Source organism: Homo sapiens, chromosome 12, assembly GCF_000001405.40.
Source record: "Homo sapiens chromosome 12, GRCh38.p14 Primary Assembly".
NCBI classification, from domain to species: Eukaryota; Metazoa; Chordata; class Mammalia; order Primates; family Hominidae; genus Homo; species Homo sapiens.
This window is the reverse complement of record NC_000012.12, coordinates 68204820-68225974: the sequence shown is the minus strand read 5'-3', so window position 1 is coordinate 68225974 and position 21155 is coordinate 68204820. Positions and strand designations below refer to the sequence as shown.

The following is a 21155-nucleotide window of genomic DNA, read 5'->3' as shown; positions in this document are numbered from 1 at the left end:
GATGGTGTGATCAGCGTTTTTTGACTATGAAGCAAGCTCTTAAAAAAATAGAACAACCAAAGTGATCTTCCTCTATATAAACTGTAAATTATCTTTCACAGCACCTCATTGGACTGGTGGCTTTGAGGGCTACATTAAGTAGGTTATCCTCTCATCTAACCGGCATTAGTATCTCTTGGGCTGCTGTGAGTGACACACGCTGAGTGGGGTGAAGGGAAATGCTGGTGAATTTCATTTTGAGGTGTGGGTTGCTGTTAGTCACTCTGTCTCTTGCCATTGCCAAGCACAAGCAATCTTCCTTCACCAAAAGTTGTTACCCAAGGGGAACATTGTCCCAAGCTGTTGACGCTCTCTATATCAAAGCAGCATGGCTCAAAGCAACGATTCCAGTAAGTATTAGGCTCTGCTTAAAATCATGACCTCAAGGACATTTACAATCTTGGATACAACTTATTTCTCTTTGTATTATTGTAGGAAGACCGCATAAAAAATATACGATTATTAAAAAAGAAAACAAAAAAGCAGTTTATGGTAAGTCAGAAAGTCTTCTTCTTTTTTACATTTCCACTTATTTGATGTTTATTTCCCCCTGCATTTAAATTTTTTTCAGAGAGTAATTAAGTAATGATCGGGGGACATTAAAAAACGATTCATAATTTACCATATGCAATTTCTTGTATCTTATTTTTAGAAAAACTGTCAATTTCAAGAACAGCTTCTGTCCTTCTTCATGGAAGACGTTTTTGGTCAACTGCAATTGCAAGGCTGCAAGAAAATACGCTTTGTGGAGGACTTTCATAGCCTTAGGCAGAAATTGAGCCACTGTGTAAGTATACACAACAAATACTGTGCATTTGATCCTAGAAACCTGTTTAGAAGTCAGCATGTAAGAATCTGTCTCACACCAAAGGGTGAGTAAAACGAGCTTTGTAATTGTTGGCTTGTAGTCCAAATGGAGAGGTCATCACCAGGGAAATAGCATTAAATAACTGTACATTACTCAGAATGCTGCTATTTATTATTTCTTAAAGAATGGCTCATAAAACACACTGAAGAGAGCTAAAGTAACATGACATGGTTTTCAAATAAATACTTTAAAATCATTCTCTCATTATGTGATTCCCAAGTAATCCATTCATCCATTTAATATTTCTTGAGTACCAACTTTGTGCCAAACACTATTCTAAGTCTCTCTTTCTCTCCCTTCCTCCCTCTCTCCCTCTCTCCCTTCTTCCCTCCCTCCCTCCCTTCCTTCCCTCTCCCTCCCTCCCTCTCCCCTTTCTCTTCCTCCACCCTCCTTCCCTCCCTCTCTCTTTCTTTCTTTTCCTTCCTTCCTTCTTTCTTTACTTCCTTTTCTTTCTTTCTCTCTCTCTTTCCTTCCTTCCTTCTTTCCCATAACAATAATAACTAACTGATGCCCTTTTTCTTATTTACTTATGTTTTTAAAAAAATATTTGTGCCCCTTTTAAGGCATAATCTCAGTAAAAAACTTAAAAAGGGATAGACATGCCTTCTTTGGTACCTAAATTATTTGATGCCTCAGTATGGTCACTGTCATAGCAAGCAGTGGAGAATTAATTAAGAAGGTAAAAGTGATCACATTTCTATGAAAAATTCCACAGCAATAAAGACCAGTGCAGAAAACAAAACAAAACAAAACAAAACAAAACAAAACAAAACAAAACAAAAACACTGAGCCAGAATCTGTGCAATGTTAGTCGAGTTGCCTCTGTGGGGAATATTGAAGCTTTTCTGTGCCCTTGGTTGGGGTCCAAGTATGCTTTCTCCAGCCTCCTGCAGTTGTAGCTTGCAGATGGTACAAAGGTTGGGTTGGGAGCCTTATTGCAATCCTTGGGAAGCCAGTTGGAAAGGAGCTCTTCATCCTGGGCATCATGGTCACTGAGACTTAAACACTGGGCCATTAGAGGGGGGGGGTGTTTATTTTTTAAGAGTTAAGATGTTTTTTTCTTGTGGTCAACTAAAGTGCTCCGTAACCCAAATTTCAGCCCAGAGTACATGAGGCATTTTATGAGTGTGAGTAGATCGGCTAGGTTAAAAAGAAAAAAACAAGCAAAAAAAAAAAAAAAAAACCACCAAATTTAAGTTCTCTATTTCTTTGCTTAGTTTGTGTTTGTTATACCCTTACTTAGGTTTGGATTGCATGTTTTTTTATAAACTCTCATATTTTATTAAAATTACAACACTGATAAAAAGAAATTACAAATTGATACCTCTTTGCAAAACACAGGGAGAATTCTCTGGGCCAGTTCTGGTGCCTGAAATTTTGTTCTATGCTTAAACCTATAAGACAACCTTATGAAGAAAGTACATGTGTAACTATAAATAGTCTCTTAAATTTAAGTTGCATTGTTAAATCCTTGCCTGATACAGTACAGAGTGTCTGGTCAGAACCCCCAAATCCATGTCAGGTTTTCATTACTAATTTGGTTTTGTTGACCCAAATAGCTAGAGAACACATAGCGACAGTTATAACCTAAAACGAACAATATTCTAGATGAAAAGCTTAGGAAACCTGGATATGTCTAGGAACTCTGGTTTTTCTTGGTTTGTTTCTGGTGAAGTTTTCCTAAAGTGGGTGGGACAGTGTGGCGCCGCTCTGGTTGGTTGTTGCTGCTTCCCAAAGGGTCTGGCTCCCTCCTGTGGCCAAATACGAACACATCATCTCATCAATCTCGCTAGGCAACACGTAACTCCGCGCTTTCCTTCTTCCCTGCTCCCACCTCAAGCCTATCAGTGTGAGCATCAGTTGTCTTACAAGCTGTGCAGTTTATGCCCTGGGGTAAAGCAAGCTCCCCCGTGAAACATAAAGCGGCAGGATTGGCCTGAGCGTTAGAAAGACTGCAGACATTGATTTAGGGAAAAGGTAACTGGCCTGGTGTCTATAATGTTTCAGCCAAACATAATTTTATATTTCTGGCAGCAGAAACTGGTATCTGTCTGTTTAATACAAATTAACTGAGCACCTACTCTATGAATCTCTGAATCAGTGGTTGGGAGAGGGCTTAGCAGACAGAAGTTATAAAACATGAAGTAAACAACATTAATTTAAATATGATATTTTGTTAATAAAAACGGACACTAAATGTAATCAATGTATAAATGGTCAACCTATTGAAACTAATTATACTTGCCGTATTTCCCCTGCCGTCCGTACTATTGAGGTTGTTGTGGGAAAAATAAGTAAAACAAAGCTCTGGGGATTCAGAGCAGTAGTGATCAAGTCACAATTGGTCAAGTCCCTTCTTGAAAGGGGGGACTGTGAGAGGGGGCCTTCCGTTCTGCACGCTCTGAGCTTTAGAAAGCTTTCCGCAGAACCTTGACATATTTTAAAACTGATCCAAGGCTTCTTCCACGATCGGGAGACAGAAGGAAATGGCCCATTCTGTTTCCTGGAGGCGGTACTCTGGGATAATGCTTAGGTTAGTATGATGCTATAGGCTAAACAGGATTCTGAGGGGTTGATTGAGCAATGAATGCTGCATTGGTAGTGCTGCTGCAGAGTTAAATGCTGTCTGTGTTCTGAACAGCTGATTTACACAGAATTTTGGCACACAGCCTACTTGCTTAATGTGTGCACTTAATATTTGAAATTATGCCAACAATAAAACATTGGTTTGTGTTCTTCTGAAAGTTTCCTCTGCCCCAAACCTTGGGAATAATTTTAAAAAAGCAAAACATATGATATTGATTGCTTTAAATCATTTGAAGAATCCAGTAATTATGTATTTTGTATCTTAATACATTAAAGGTAATAGTAAGGATTACTACAGCTCTTTATAAATTGTTAGCTTGTGCATGGGATTTTTAAATGCTCTTATCAGTGTACCTGTTTTATTTCTGTTGACAATTTTTAATGGATACCAGAGTTATTAAAAGATGCTTACTCTGCTAAAGTTGCAAAGACATTTTAATTTGTGATGGTAACTTTTTTTCAGATAATTATATTTTACCAAATAGGGTATGACTCTGGTTGGATTTGTTGATTACATGCTGAATTAGGTGAAAATTTTCACATATCAAGAGCAAAGTACTAAATTATTCCTTTAAAATTTACAGTAGCCTTCCCTGGTAGGTTTAATAGGAGTATTTGGGTTGGGGAAATATTGCAATTCCAATGATGGAATACTTATGTACTATATTACCAAATCTCATTACCTGGATTATATTTGAGTTATCCTTGGTGGGTGTTGTTTTGTATCACCAGAAAGAAAAACTTAAAGATGAACTCTGGTATAACCCGGAAGTAGTTACTGGATCACATGTTGTCAGCTAGAGATGATCAATATCTATTTCACTTGCAGTTCATTTGCATGGAACTTTATGATTACTGGCTGCAGATAACAGTACAACTCTTTTGACATTCATATCACCAGCCCACTATTGAACATTTCTAGGTTTTAGATAGTTCAAAATTCAGATATAAAAATAAAATGCTCATGGTGAGCAACTGGTCCTATCCACCTCCTTTCCATTTATTCTTTTTTATTCCTGTTCATAGGCAACATTGTGTCACTCATTACTATTTGATAAAGGTGATGAAATAAATAATTGCCACATTTTGAGGGTATGGATTTGCACTTGATGGATATTCGTCAAATGGCTGAGACCTCGTGCTTTCCTTCCTTTTCCTTCCTTCATTCCTTTCCTTTTCCTCCCACCCCATTCCTCCTTTCCTTTAATATACTTAAAAAACTGTCCATGTGCCTGCTCCAGAACAATTGCCAAATGATGAATTTGTCAATGACCAAGTTGTTGAATTAGTTTTTTCTTTTATTTATTTAGTTTTAGTTGACTGGCTTTGTTTTGTCTTCATAAGAAAGAAGCTTTTGTGTTGAGGACTGTTGTGTTCGTTTCTGTTCCTAATTCCCACTTCTGGAAATAAAGATCAAGTAGCAGGGAGAGGGGAGACTTGAGGGCATAAAAATCATAAGATCAGAATGTTTCTGAGCATGCAGAATTCTTATGACTATATTTAACATTAATATATTTGTATACAAGGGAGAATATATAAGAATTTGGCCAGGTACGGTAGCTTACGCCTACAATCCCAGCACTTTGGGAGGCCGAGATGGGTGGATCACCTGAGGTCAGGAGTTCGAGACCAACCTGACCAACATGGCAAAACCCCATCTCAAGAAAAAATACAAAAATTAGCCAGGCGCGGTGGCGCATGCCTGTAGTCCCAGCTACTCGGGAGACTGAGACAGGAGAATCTCTTGAACCCAGGAGGTGGAGGTTGCAGTGAGCCAAGACCGCACCACTGCACTCCAACCTGGATGACAGATATCTATGACACCTTCTTATTATCTTAGTGTCTTTTGAAGAGATTTTACATTTTATGAAGTACAATATAATAGTTTTTTCTTTAATGGACCATGTTTTGGTGTCATATTGAAGAAATCTTTATTTAACACAAAGGTCATGAAAAAATTTTACATTTAGAAGTTTCCTCATTTTAAATATCACATTTAGATCAATGCCTTTTTAACACATCTATTGACAGGATTGTATGATTTTTAATTTTTGGACAATTGAAACAATGAATTACATTGATTTTCAAAGTTAAACCAATCTTGCATTTCTGGGATGCACTCTACTTGGCAATAATATATTATTTCTTTCATACATCACTAGATTTAATTTGCTAAAATTTTGCCTAAAAATTTTGCATCTACATATGTTAGATGTTAGTCTACGGTTTTCTTGTAATATCTGTGTCACTTTGATACTAGCATAATCCTGGCCTCATAAAGTTGAAAAGGGTTTACCTTTTCAATTTTCAGAAAGTGTTAGTATAGACTTATTTTTTCTTAAATGTTTGGCAAGATTTACCAGTGAAGCCATTTTTGCTTAGAGTTTTCTTTGTGGGAAGATTTTAAACTATGTATTCTATTTTTTAGTAGATGCAAGGTTATTTTTTCAGATTATCTATTTCTTTTTGAAGGAACCTTGGTAGTTTGTGTCTTTCAGTGATTTTATTCATCTCATCAAATTCACCAAATTTATAGCCAGATAATTTTTCATGATATTTCCTTAATATGCTTTTAATATCTGCATAGTACAGGATGATGTCACTTCTCTTATTTCTGATATTGGTAATTTTTGTCTTTATTTTTTCTTTCTCATGGGTCTGGCTAAAAATTCATCAATTTTATTGATTTCTCAAAGAACCAGTTTTTAGTTTCATTGATTTTTCTTTATTACTTTTCTGTTTTTATTTCAGTGATTTTTATTCTGAACATTATTATTCATTTTCTTCTATTAAATTTATATTTAGTCTGCTCCTTCTAGTTTCTTAAGCTAGAAACTTGGGTCATTAACTTGAAATTTTTTTTTCTTTATTTGGAAGCTGAGATTATTAATTTGTGATTTTCTAACTTTTTATTATAGGAGTTTAGAACTATAAATTTCCCTCTAAGTACTTCTTTAGTTACATTTCACAATCTTTGCTATGTTGTGCTTTCATGTTTATTTGCTTTAAATTACTTGCTAATTTCCCTTTTTATTTTTTCTTTTATATATGGGTTATTAGAAGAGTGTTATTTAGTTTTTATATGTGGGAATTTTTCTAGATACTTTTCTAATTTTGATTTCTAATTTGATATCATTTTGGCCAGAGACCATACTTTGTATGACTTGAATCCCTTTATATTTGCTGATCCATGTTTCATAACCCAGAATTTGGTCTATTTTGGTAAATGTTCTATGTATATTTGAAAAGAATATGTATTCTGCCATTGTTGGGCTGAGTATTTTATACATTTCAATTAGATTTAGTTGTGACAGCTTTTTACTTTTTCTCTCTCTTTATTAACTTTTTTCTACTTGTTTTATCAATTATTGGTATCTCTGACATTAATTGTGAACTTCTGTTGCTTCTTGAAGTTCTATCAGATATTGCTTCATGTATTTTGAATTTCTGTTATTAGGTACAGAAATGTTTATGATTGTTATATTCTCTTGATGAATTGACACATTTATCATTATAAAATTACCCTTATTGTCCCTAATAATATTCTTTGTCCTGAAATCCACTTCTTTTTTGATGCTAATAGAATCACTCCAGCTTTCTTTTGATTGATGTTAGTGTGCTATGTCTTTTTCCATCCTTTTACTCATAACATATTCGTGCCTTTTATTTTTCTCATTATTACTTGTTTTAAGCAATTTGATTATGATGTGAATTGATGTAGTTTTCTTCAGGCTTCTTGTGCTTGGAGTTGATTGGGAATCTTGTATTTGTGAGTATATAGTTTTCATCAAATTTGAAATTGTTCAGCATTATTTATTCAAAAACTTTTTTCTGTATCTCCTTCTGTCTCTTCTCCTCTTGGAATGCTAATTACACATATATTAGCCCATTTGTAGTTGTCCCACAGCTCACTGATTCTGTGGGTTGTTTTTTCCCAGTCTTTTCTGTGTTTCATTGTGAATAGTTTCTATTGCTACATCTTCAAGATCACTAATCGTTTCTTTTGTAGTGCCTATCTGTTAGTCCCATTCAGAATATTTTTCACCTCATACATTGTAGTTTTTATCTCTAGAAGTTTGAATTGAGTCTTTTTAATATTTTCCATTGCTCTATTGAACATGATCAGTCTTTCTCTAACTTCTAGAACATATGGAATAGAGTTATAGCAACTTTTAAAATATCCTTATTGATTAATTGTAACATTTGTGTCCACTCTGGGTTGGTTTCAATTGATTGATTTTTTTCCCTCGTTATGGGTCATATTTTACAGCATCTTTGCACGGCTGGTAATTTTGATCAAATGTCAAATATTATGAATTTTACCTTGTTGGATCCTAGACATTTTTATATTTCTGTAAATATTCTTGAGTTTTCTTCTGGGACACAGTTAAATTAGTTGCAAACAGTTTGATCTTTTCAGATCTTGTTGTTTAAGCTTTGTTAGGCAGGACCAAAGTATTGTTTAGTCTAGTGCTGTTTTTGCCACTCATTGAAGCAACACATTTCTGTAAACTCTACCATATTTCCTATGATTTTGCTTTCCTTTCTTCTTTTCCTTCTCTTCCTCCTTTTTGAAATGTATTTGTTCAGGACATTCGGCCATTTGTCTCACAGAGTTTCTCATAGTCTGTATTTTCTGACTGCATTTTCATAGTGTCATTTAATATATTCTCCTCTTTATTTACCATACATTAACAATTATACAGAGAGACTTGATCAGATTTAGCTTGATGTTTTAGCTAGAACACTTTATAGGTAGCATTGTTTGCTTTCACTGGGTCACATGATGTATGATCTTTATTTTTACGATGATAACAACCCCTGACAATTATTGTCTAGATCCGTTAATTCATAAGGCACTACAAAATAATAATTTTTAAATTCTATTTTATCTTCTTTACTCATAAGCTGGGATAATTCAATAAATAGAATCTACTCCTATTTGGATGTTCTGAGGAACTTATCATATAAGAAAGCCAGGTTAAATACTTAATTATCTTCCTTTATTTGCTAGCTTTCAACATAAGTGGTTGGTTTTCTGATTTTCTCCCATAATGACCAATGAATTATTAATTTTGTTGTCATTTTCTCTGTTTCATTATTAACTCATGAAATTATTTCTTATTTTTGTGAAGCTTATCTGATTTCTCTAAGGTACCTGCCTTTTGGGCTTCCTTGCAAGTCCGTTTTCTTGAGCCACTCTTAAGATAAAACAGCATGACAAATTATCATGATAGACTCCAAGGACTGGAATTCCCAGTACCACTGTATTTGGACATCCTCTCATTGCTTCTGGTGACATTCTAAGCATTTTGCAGCACCTAATAAAATATATTTTCCAATTAGTTTGATTTGGGTAAGTCAGATAGTATAATTGTTCAAAAAATAAGTTATGTGTAATGTAAACTTCTTTATGTTTATACTCTTTCCTAGCCATAATATTTGGAAAATTGTTTATGTAAGAAGACATTTTAGAGATTCTTACAGAACTCAAATACTCTCAGACTTGAAAGAGAATTTAGCAGTCACCTTATTGGATTCATAAAATAATTTACCTAATTGCTAGTGATCAAAATAGAAATGAAAATAATTTCTGTTAGTTTTTAAGATTTCATCGTCTACTTTAATTAACATTTTGAGAGCCTGAACAGTAATTGGTATTTAGAGAGACACATTTCTTCATGTCGGTTGCATGTAATTAATTTTAAAGTCTGGCAAAAATTGGCAAACAGAATATTGTGTTTCCATTTTTTGTAGACTGTTTAATAAGTAACTTGTATCATCAATTGCAAATAGCTTATCAACTTGTAAAATAATACCATTCATTCATCCCTGTAATTTAAAATTGTAAAAATTGCAACTGGTTGAACTGATAAAGCAAGAGTGAGACCAATCCTGTCTTATTCTTTTATCAGCTGCAAAGTCTAAAACCTGTGTCTTCAATAACAGTAGCCTCATCTTAAGGTCGTTGGGAGAATTAAGTACCTAGCATGTAGTAGTTCTGCAGAATTGTTAGTGCTTCCTTTATTGCTTTTCATGCACAGAACATTAATTTTTATTCCAATTACATTTTCTCAACAATTTACGAAGGAGTGGTTCTCTTAAGTAATCAGATACTTTTTTAGTGCTTAAAATTAGTATTATATTGTATAATGTGTATAATTTATAGTAGTAGCTTATTTATTTTTTTATGAGACGGAGTCTTGCTGTGTTGTCAGGCTGGAGTGCAGTGGTGCAATCTTGGCTCACTGCAACCTCCACCTCCTGGGTTCAAGCGATTCCCCTGCCTCAGCCTCCTGTGTAGTTGGGACTACAGGCGTGTGCCAGCATGCCTGGCTAATTTTTTGTATTTTAGTAGAGATGGGGTTTCACCATGTTGGCCAGGATGGTCTCGATCTTCTGACCTTGTGATCCATCCACCTCAGCCTCCCAAAGTGCTGGGATTACAGGCGTGAGCCACCACGCCTGGCCAGCAGTAGTTTAATTTAAAGATAAATAGGCTGAGCATGGTGGCTCATGCCTGTAATCCCAGCACTTTGGGAGGCTGAGGTGGGCAGATCACTTGAGGCCAGAAGTTTGAGACCAGCCTGGCCAACATAGTGAAACCCTGTCTCTACTAAAAACAAAAATAAAAATAAAAATAAAAAGTTATCTGGATATGGGGTGCATGCCTATAATCCCAGCTACTCAGGAGGCTGAGGCACGAGGATTACTTGAACCCAGGAGGCTGAGATTGCAATGCGTCAAGATTGCACCACTGCTCTCCAGCCTCAGCAACAGAGGGAGATTCTGTCTCAAGAAAAAAAGATAAATAAATTATGAGTAATTGGTTTTAACTTTGGTAAAGGTATTTTCTAATTATGTTATTGAATTGTTTTGCTGACAAATTCATTTCTTGGTTAATGATACATAATTTCTCTGTCAAAATTGTGAGGCATGAAAAATGACGGAGAAAAAGCAAGCTGGCTTCACTATCCCTTCTTCTGCATCCTGAAAACCAAAAACAAATACACAGCACTATGATTATCACCAGCAATATCCCAGAATGCTAATATATGAGGATAAGACAGTTCCTGAGGCCTCAGAGAAGTGAAAAAATTTTGGGCAGATAGTAACAGAATTGGAATTTTACATCCACAATGCCCCTCCCCCAATCTGCCAGGCACCAAGCACAGGGAAAATTTTCTCCCAACTCACAATTACTACACTGGAAAACGTGGGATTGAGGTGGACAATCAGCTTTCCCATCATCTTGAGCTCCTGGGTAGGATACCTATACCTGCCTCAACAAAAAGTCAAAATGTGTGTGTGTTGGGGGATGGAGTTAAAGTATAGTTTTTAAAAGTTTTTCCTTGGTTTGTTTCTAGTCCCTTTTTATTTTGATCAAATATAAGTTGTCATCTGTTTGAAATAACTCGTTATATTTATAAGAGGTTTTTTTGTAAGCCTCGTGGTAACCACAAAGCAAAAACTATAATAAATGCACTAAAAATTAAGAGCAACAAAATAAAACATACTGCCAAAGAAAATAACCACAGAAGACAGTAGAAAGGAAGAGAGGAGTTAAAAAAAACAAAATGAAATAAAAAAAAAAAAACATAAAACAGGTAACAAAATGTCAGTAGTAAGTTTTTACCTATCAATGATAACATTGAATGTAAGTGGACTAAATTTTCTAATTAAATGACAGAGTGGCTGAATGGATAAAGAAACAAGACCAAACAATATGCCACCTATAAGAAACTTGCTTCACCTATAAAGGCTCACATAGACTGACAGTTAAGGAATGGATAAAAGATATTCCATGCAAATGGAAACCAAAAAAAGAGCAGGACTAGCTATCCTTTTATCAGATAGACTACAAGCCAAAGTCCGTAAAAAGAGGGTAGAAAGTCACTATATAATGATAAAGAGGTTAATTCAGCTAGAGGATATAACAATTATAAATATCTATGCATGCAACATAAGAGCACCCAAGTATATAAAGCAAGCATTAATAGATCTAAAGGGAGAGCTAGACTGCAATACAATAATAGCAGAGGACTTCAACACTCCAATCTTAGTAATGGACAGATCATTTAGACAGGAAAAGTTAAACTACACATTAAACCAAATGGGCCGATGTGACATTCACAGAATAATTCACCCAACTGCTACAGAATACACATTCTTTTCATCAGCACATGGAACATTCTCCAGAAAGACTATATTTTAGGCTACCAAACAAGTGTCAGCACATTCAAAAAGTCATAATTATGTCAAGTATCTTTTCTGACCACAATGGAATAAAACAGAAATAAACAACAAGAGGAATCTTGGAAACTACGAAAACTCATGGAAATTAAATAATATGCTCCTGAGCAATCGATGAGTCAGTAAATATATTACGATGGAAATTTAAAAATGTCTTAAAATAAATAAAAGTGGAAACACAATATACCAAAACCTATGGGATACAGCAAAAGCAGTCCTAAGAGGGAAGTTTATAGCAGTAAATGCCTACCTCAAAAAAGTAGAAAGACTTCAAATAAACAACTAATAATGTATCTGAAGGAACTGGGAAAGTAAGAACAAACCAAATTTAGTAGAAGGAAATAACTAATAAATGTCAGAGCAGAAACAAATGAAATTGAGCCTACAAAACAATAGGGAAGTGCAATAAAATAAAAAATTGGTTTTTTTGAAAAGATAAACAGTGGACATTTAGCTAAGAAAAAGAGAGAAAATACAAAATAAAATCAGAGATGAAAAAAGAGACATAACAACTGATGCCACAGAAATACAAATAACTATTACAGAATTACAGAATATTACGGAAAATTATATGTTAACAAATTGGAAAACTTAGAAGAAATGGATAAATTACTAGACACATGCAACCTATCAAGATTAAGCCATGAAGAAAGACAACCTGAACAAACCAATAATGAGTAACAAGATTGAAGCTGTAACAAAAGTCTTGTATTAAAGTAAACCCAGGACATAATGGATTCAGTGCTGAGTTCTACCAAACATTTTAAAAAGAATTAATTCCAATTCTACCCAAACTCTTAAAAAATTAAAGAGAAGAGCATATTTCCAAACTCATTCTGTGAGTCCAGTTGTACCTTGATATAAATCAGACAAGGACACAACAAAAAAGAGAAAACTGCAGGCCAATGTTTCTAATGAAAACAAACACAAAAATCCTCACAAAAATATTAGCAAACCAAATTCAACAACACATTGAAAAGATCATTCACCAGATCAGGCTGGATGCATCCCAGGGATGCAAGGATGGCTCAAAATGTGCAAATCAATAAATGTGATACATGAAAAGAACCAAGAACAAAAACCATATGATCATTTCAATAGATATTGAAAAAGTATTCAATAAAATTTATATCCCTTTATGATAAAAACCCTTAACAGACTAGATATAGAAGGGGCATACCTCAGAACAATAAAAGCCATTTATGATGAGCTAACATCACACTGAATGGGGAAAAATTGAAAGCCTCTCCTCTATCATCTGGAACAGGACAAGTTTGACCACTTTCACCACTTTTATTCAACATAATACTGAAAGTCCTAGTCACAGCAAATAATCAAGAGAAGGAAATAAAGTGCATTCAATTTGAAAAGGAAGAAGTTAAATTATGCTTTTTCACAGATGACATGGTCTTATATTCAAAATATCCTAAAGACTCTACCTAAACTGTTAGAACTGATAAAAAAAATTCCGTAAATTTGCAGGATACAAAAATCAATAGCATTTATGCATGCAAACAGTGAACAATATAAAAAAGAAATAAAAAAGCAATCCCATTTACAATAGCTGCAAAAATATAAGATAACTAGGAATAAATTTAACCAAGGAAGTGAAGGATCTCTATAAGAAAAACTATAAAACATTGATGAAATTGTGTATAAAACAATGAAATTGAAGAGGACACACACACAAAACATGGATATTCAATGCTCCTTCATTGAAAGAAATAATACTGCTAAAATATCAATACTACCCAAAGCTATCTACAGATTAAATGCAATTTCTATCAAGATACTTCTAGCATTCTTCACAGAAATAGAAAAACATGGTAAAATTTACATGGAACCACAGAACCACAAAAGACCCCCCAAAAGCCAAAGCAATACTGAGCAAAAAGAACAAAGCTGGAAGCATCACACTACCTGACTTCAAAACATACTATAAAGCTATAGTAACCAGAAGAGCATGGTACTGGCATTAAAAACAAAAAACATAGACCAATAGAAAAGAATAGAGAACCCAGAAATAAATCCATACATTTACAGCCAACTCATATTTTGACAAAGGTGCCAAGAATATACATTGAGGGAAAGAACAGTCTCTTCAATAAATGATGCTGGGAAAACTCGATAACCATATGCAGAAAAATGAAACTAAACTCCTATCTCTCACAGTATAGAAAAATAAAATCAAAATGGATTGGAGCCCAATATAAGACCTAACACTATGAAACTATTGGAAGAAAACTTGAGGAAACACTTCAGGACATTGGTCTGGGCAGAGATTTTTTTTTGAGTAAGTCCTCGAAAGTACAGACAACCAAAGAAAAAAATAGACAAATGGGATTATGTAAAGCTAAAAATCCTCTGCCCAGCAAAGGAAACAATCGACAAAGTAAGAAGGCAACCTACAGAATCGGAAAAAATATTTGCAACTATCCGTCTGACAAGGGACTAATCAGAATATATGAGGAACTCAAAGAACTCAATAGCAAAAAGCAAATAATCTGATTTAAAAATGGGAAAAAGATCTGAATAGACATACAAATGGCCAACAGGCATATCAAAATACTCAATATCACTAATCAGAGAAATGCAAATCAAAACCACAGTGAGATACCATCTCACCCCCGTTAGAATGGCTATAACTTAAAAGGCAGTAGTGATGCTGGGAAGGAGGTAGAGAAAGGGGAACCCTGGCACACTGTTGGTGGGAATGTAAACTAGTATAACCGCTATGGAAAACAGTATGGAAGCTCCTCAAAAAACTGAAAGTATAACTACCATGTGATTCAGCAATCTCACTACTGGATATATATCCTAAAGAAAGGAAATCAATTTCTTGAAGAGATAACCTGCACTCAAATGTTTATTCAGCACTAGCCACAGTAGCCAACATATGGAATCAATCTAAGTGCTCATCAATGGATGAATGGATAAAGAAAATGTGGTATAATGAAAAAAATGAAATTCTGTCATTTGCAGCAACATGGATGGAACAGAGGTTTTTACGTTAAGTGAAGGAAGCCAGGCATGGAAAGACAACTATTTCCTGTTCTCACCCATTTGTGGGAGCTAATAAAGTGGATCTCATGAAGACAGTGAATAGGTTGAGTGTGAGCAGAGGCTGGGAGAGGTAGGGGTGTGGCAAGATGAAGAGAGGTTGATTAATGGGCTCAAAAATACAGTGGGAGGAAGTTACCCTGATTTAATCATAACACATTATATGAATGCATCAAAATGTCACATGTACCCTGAAAATATTTACATCTATTATGTCTCAATAAAAAATTATGGGGTGCAGCTCTATTGCTGAGTTCGGAATTTAATTCACATGCTAAATTGTGTGAACTAATTCTGATGAATGACAATAACACTGAAAAATGTAAAAACCTGCACTAATGTTATCCTACTATAGTATCTATTTGTATTTAAAGTATTAAAAAAACTCTTTCTAATTTTTTTCTATGGTTGGAACATGAAGAAATGTCTTACAAGGGTTTAAGATTATTCTAGGTAAGCTAGCTTACCTATATCAGATGATCTTTGTAGTTATAGAGAATATAGAAATTGGATAATGATGTTTTGTAAACTTTTCTGTTCAATATCTACTGAGTTGTTGGATATTTGTCTTTTTATTAAAATTAAATGTCTGATTATGAATTTGGTTTCGCAGAGAGACACTTGGCTAATAATTTAGTCCCTCTTTTCTACTTTCATGAAAACTTGCTTGTAAATCTAATCATGCTTTCTTCAAATTATGCTAATTTTGTTGTTTTCTTTCAAAGTTTCCTATAAATCTTTCTGGTGTCAGTAGTTTTGTGTTGGTGTCCTAGTGCTTGTGCTGTTTTTTTTTTTTTTTTTTTTTTTTTTTTTTTTTTTTTTTTTTTTTTGCCAAACTGATATTTATTTATTTAGTCTATTTTTTAAACATTATACTAGCATAATTTTCTCAAGTATGGCTTTAAAAGCACTTCAGATAATATTTGTAGGACCCCATGTGAACAACTGTGCAAAAAGTCAGTGAATAAGATCTGCTTAAGAGTCTGTATCTGCAGTAAAACAATAAAATTAAGTTTAGTCTTTAGTTGAATCTCTTATCTGTCACTCTTATCTATCATCTGTATTTTGGAGAAGAAAAACTTTCAAGAAACCAAGGCTGTGGTCACAGTAGAAACCATCTTAGCCATTAAGGTCAACTAAAAAAACAAAAAACAACAAGAAGGGTGGTTATGATCCAGTCTGAAGTTGTATATTGAGGTCTATAAAAATGAAGGTCTTATGTATGGTTTTTCACTTACCCTCTGGCTGTATATTTATAATATGATAGAGTATAATCTAATAAAATCCTTTTTGTCGAGAGAGGATTTGAGGCCATTCTCCGTGAGAATGCAGTCTGGGCAGTTAATTCTCTGAGGAACCGTGACACATGTAGCTGTCGACTCATAACCCACTATCTCCTTTCCTCAAATTATTGGTGTTGGGGTAAAAGCTGAGTGTTGGGAGAAGCTGAGGCGGGGGCTTGCATGTCTGATATAATGTAAAAGAGTCTTGGAACATGTGCAGGGTCCAGAGTCTAAAACCCCTCACGGCTTTTGGAACACCAAGCTCTGTGCAAAAGGGTGGAAGGCTACCCTGACGCACCATAATCTAAGCCTAGGGCATAAAACCCGTAGGGGCTAGGATAGCATCCAGGGCTCAGGGCATAAAACCCCTCGTGGCCTCTGGAATGTGTCTAGACTTGTCGGCTCCTTGCTCTCCCAGGATCGATTGTATCTTGAGTTAAAAGAACCTACTCTCCATTATCTCAAGTAGCAGAGCATATGCTAAACTGTCACAGCTGTAAATCATGTGCTTAATGCAATGCTCCCTTTCAACCCCACATTCTCACCACCTGTTTCTTTGTTTGATCACCAATAAATAGTCTGGGCTTCCAGAGCTCAGGGCCTTTGCAGCCTCCGTACTCGTGTTGGCCCCCTGGACTCACTTTCTCTCTCAAACTGTCTTTTCTCATTCCTTTGACTCCACTGGACTTCGTTGCCCCCACGACCCGGTGTTGGGTCTGATTACCCCAACAATCAGTAGAGGTTTTCCATTTTTGCTTTAGCCATCATATGCAATACAAATTTGTATGATTTTTTTGAACACATAAGGAAATTGGAAAAAACTAAGGATTGTATTGCTTGTTTATCTGATTGTTTTAGACAAAGTTATAAGGGTCACTAATGTCTAGGCCATGCTTCAAATTTTTAAGAAACAAGTAGGCTTGTGGACCCTGAGGCAGTAAGTCGATGCCTGCATTTTATTTGTTGATTGATTTATTCAGCAAATGTTTATTATTTAGTATTTGCTGAACACTATTCCAGATGCAGGGGACTCAATGAAAATCGACAGACAATACTTCTGTCCTCATAGAGCTCATTGAAAATGCTGGCTGGGCGTGGTGGCTCACACTGTAATCCGAGCACTTTGGGAGGCAGAGGCGGGTGGATCACTTGAGGTCAGGAGTTCGAGATCAGCCTGGCCAACATGGTGAAACCCTATCTTTGCTAAAATATAAAATTAGCCAGGCGTGGTGGTGGGTGCCTGTAATCCCAGCTACTTGGGAGGCTGAGGCAGGAGTATTGCTTGAACCCAGGATACGGAGGTTGCAGTGAGCTGAGATTGCGCGCGCCACTGCACTCCAGCCTGGGCCACAAGAGTGAAACTCCGTCTCAAGAAAAAAGAAACAAAGAAAGAAAGAAAGAAAGAAAATGCTTTCTTCCCATCTTGGCTAGTCTCAAGTTGTGATTGGTGCTGCAAAGGGAGCACATAGGAGGATGTGCTGCAGCAGAGGTGGAGGTTCGGGGCCATAACTTGGATTTAGTCCGAGGTATTCAGCTGAGACCTGAAGGGTGTTTAAATTATCTCTGCGCTCTCCAGCCTTTGAACACCTTGCTTCCCTGCCTACTCATCTCTTCTTCCTGCTTTTTCCACTCATCTTTCAAGACACAAGTCACTTTTTTTCTTCTGGAAGACTTCAGAGGTTACCTCTCCTCTGTCTCCTGGAGCAGTCATGTTTTTGTTTTAATCACAGTATTTGTCATATAGAATTGTAATTGTGCATCACTCTGTGTCTTGGCAGACTGTGAGGCCTCAAGTGTACCCTGGGGTGATTTTCATGCAGGGTACTTTTGTGCATTAAATATAGGTTTGAACTGCATAGGTCAACTTACATGTGGTTTTGTTTTTCAATAAATACACTAGACAATTTTTTGGAGATTTGTAACAATTTGACAAACTTGCAGATGAGATGTGTATCCTAGAAATATGGAAAAATTAAGAAAAATATGTCATTAATGCATAAAATATATGTATGTACTAGTCTATTTTATCATTTGCTACCATGAAGTATCCACAAATCTATTATAAAAAGTTAAAATGTATCAAAACCTATACACACAGACACTTACAGACCATATATGGAGCCATTTGGTTTGTAAACAAAGGTAAAGATACAATATTAAAGCATCTGGCAACTGGGAACCTGTCTGCTGCCTTTTGGTTGGTAGAAACTGCTTCTACCAATCAATGTGTTCAAATTGCATGTAAATTGCACATTACCAATGAGTAATGTGAGTAGAGACAAACTGCTCACATGAAGATAATTAGCTGCACAAAATTACTTGTGGTAATGCTGTACTACTATAATAATTCTGTAGCCACCTCCTGTTGCTATTGTAGTATGCTCAAGTGCTGTGAATATCCACTTAAAATGCTGTATAATGTTAATTATCTTCATGTGAGCAGTTTGTCACTGTAGTAAATTGCCCATTGCAGTAAAAAGTGGTCTCTTGTGTATTTTTCACTGTGTTTTGTGCAATATCATAAATCTTGAATAATACCATGGGTGCCACAAAAAGTGCCACTGGTGATGCTGGAAGTGCTCCCAAGAAGTAGAGAAAAGTCATGACATTACAAGAAAAAGTTGAACTGCTTGATATGTACCACAGAGTGAGGTATGCAGCTGAGGTTGCCTGACAAGTCCAGGATAAGGACCATTGTGAAAAAAGAAAAGGAAATTTCTGAATCCCCTGCTACAGCTACACCAGCAGGTGTGAAAACCTTGCACTTTTCCAGAAACACCTTTTTAAAAATCTCCTATTGAAAATGCAGCTTTCATGTGGGTGTAGGACTGCTAAAAGAAAGGCACATCTATAGACCCTGATATGATTCAAGAAAAAGTGAAGTCATTATATGACAATTTAAAACAAAAGAAAGATGAAGGATCTACAGCTGCAGAATTTAATGCCCTCAAAGGATGGTTTGAAAATTTTAGAAAGACATTTGGCTTAAAAAAACTGTCAAGATAACAAGAGAAACAGTTTCTACCAACCAAGAGGCAGCAGACAAGTTCCCAGATGCCATTAAAACAATCACTGGGAAGGAAGGGTATCTGCCTGAACAGGTTTTTGATGTAGATGGAAGTGTCCTATTCTGGAAAACAATGCTACAGTCATTTATCAGTAAAGAAGTGAGCACCAGGATTTTAAGGCAGGAAGGAATAGGCTAACTTTAATGTTTTGTGCAAATGCAGTCAGGTTTATGATCAGGACTGCCCTTATTTGTAAAGCTGCTAACCTCTGAGCCTTGAAGGGAAGAGATAAACACCAGCTGCCAGTCTTTCCATTGTACAACATGAAGGCCCAGAAAATGAGAACATTTTTTTATGGATTGGTTCCATTGGTGCTTTGTTCCTGAAGTCAGGAAGTACCTTGCCAGTAAGCAACTGCCTTTTAACGTTTTTTTGATATTGGGCAATGCTCCTGGCCACCCAGAACCCGAAGAATTAAACACAGAAGGCACTGAAGTAATCTACTTGCCCCCATATACAACATCTCTAATTCAGCCTCTAGATCAAGGGGTCATAAAGACCTTTTAGGCTCATTACATGTGGTATTCTACAAAAAGGATTGTCAACAATATGGAAGAGAACACCAATGGAGGGAACATCATCAAAGTTTAGATTACACTATTGAAGATGCTATCATTGTTATAGAAAAAAACATGAAAGTCATCAAGCCTGAAACAATAAATTCCTGCTGGAGAAAAGTGTGTTCAGATGTCGTACATAACTTCATAGAATTTACAACAGAACTAATCAAAGAAATCACAAAATAGATTGTGTCTATGGCAAAAAGATGGTGGGGGCAGGAGCAGGTTGAAGATATCAAGATATGGATCTTGGAGAAATTCAAGAGCTAGTAGACACTGCACCACAGGAATTAGCAGAAGACGACTTGATGGAGATGAGTGTTTCTGAACCAGTGCCAGACGATGAGGAAGAAGACATAGAAGAAGCAATCCCAGAAAACAAATTGACATTAGACAATTGGCATAAGGGTTCCAATTATTCAAGAGTGGTTTTAACTTCTTTTATGACATGAACTTTTCTATGATACGAGGACTGAAACTAAAGCAAATGGTGGAAGAAGGGTTAGTACTGTATAGAAATATTTTTAGAGAAATTAAAAAAGTCAGACAGAAATTACTATGTATTTCCTTAAAGTTACACCAAGTGCCTGCCTCTCCTGCCTCCCCTTCCACTTCCTCCACCTCTTTTGCTTCTGCCATCCCTGAGATGGCAAGACCAACTCCTCCACTTCCTCCTTATCCTTAGTTTGCTGAACATGAAGATGGCAAGGATGAAGACATTTATGATGATCCACTTCCACTTAATGATTAGTAAATATATTTTCTCTTCCTTATGATTTTCTTAGTTACATTGTCTTTTCTACAGCTTATTTCATTATAAAAATACAATCTATCTATCTATCTCACAAAATATGTGTTAATTGATTAATCATGTTATCAATAAGGCTTCCGGTCAACTGTAGGCTATTAGTTTAATTTGGGGGGGGTCTAATGTTTTACGCAGGTTTTTAACTTCATTGGTGGGGCGGGGGGTCAGTGCACCTAACGTTATCCAGCATTGTTCAACTGTAAATCATTCATTGTCAACAGTAAATCAGTGCTATATGGCAGAGGCATTGCTGTATGCTTAGCATATAGTAAGTATGTGATAAATATATATTGACTTAATAATAAAGAATGAATGTTTCCTATGACATGATTATCTCACATTTTTCTCTGAGCTGATTTCTAGTTATTCTAGCCCTACCAATAATTTGCCTCTGGTCCAGATCATATCAGCTTCTGTTGAGTTTGTCAAATCGTTCAGCCATTCTTATGATAAAACTGCTGACCCTTTATCACACATTGTAATTTCAGCCGCTGCAGCTAGACTCAAAAATATAAAGAAAAGGAAATCATTCTTTGAATAAATTCCTCTTTCCAAGCAAAGCAATCTGAATTACGGCAGTAAAATCTGCCATCCTACTGGACCTGTGGACACATTTACAACAGTATAAAG

At 35.7% G+C, this 21155-nt stretch overlaps 1 protein-coding gene across 1 annotated transcript in view; it reads left to right on the top strand.

Annotated features, from left to right (window-relative positions):
- The first annotated feature begins 164 nt into the window (after positions 1-164).
- IL26 (interleukin 26) overlaps positions 165-21155 on the top strand; it is a 24462-nt gene continuing 3471 nt past the window's right edge. The window contains exons 1-3 of the mRNA NM_018402.2: positions 165-389; positions 475-531; positions 692-826. Of these exons, the coding sequence (NP_060872.1) occupies positions 219-389; positions 475-531; positions 692-826 (363 nt within the window). The 5' untranslated portion in view covers positions 165-218. The remainder of the gene's footprint in view (positions 390-474; positions 532-691; positions 827-21155) is intronic.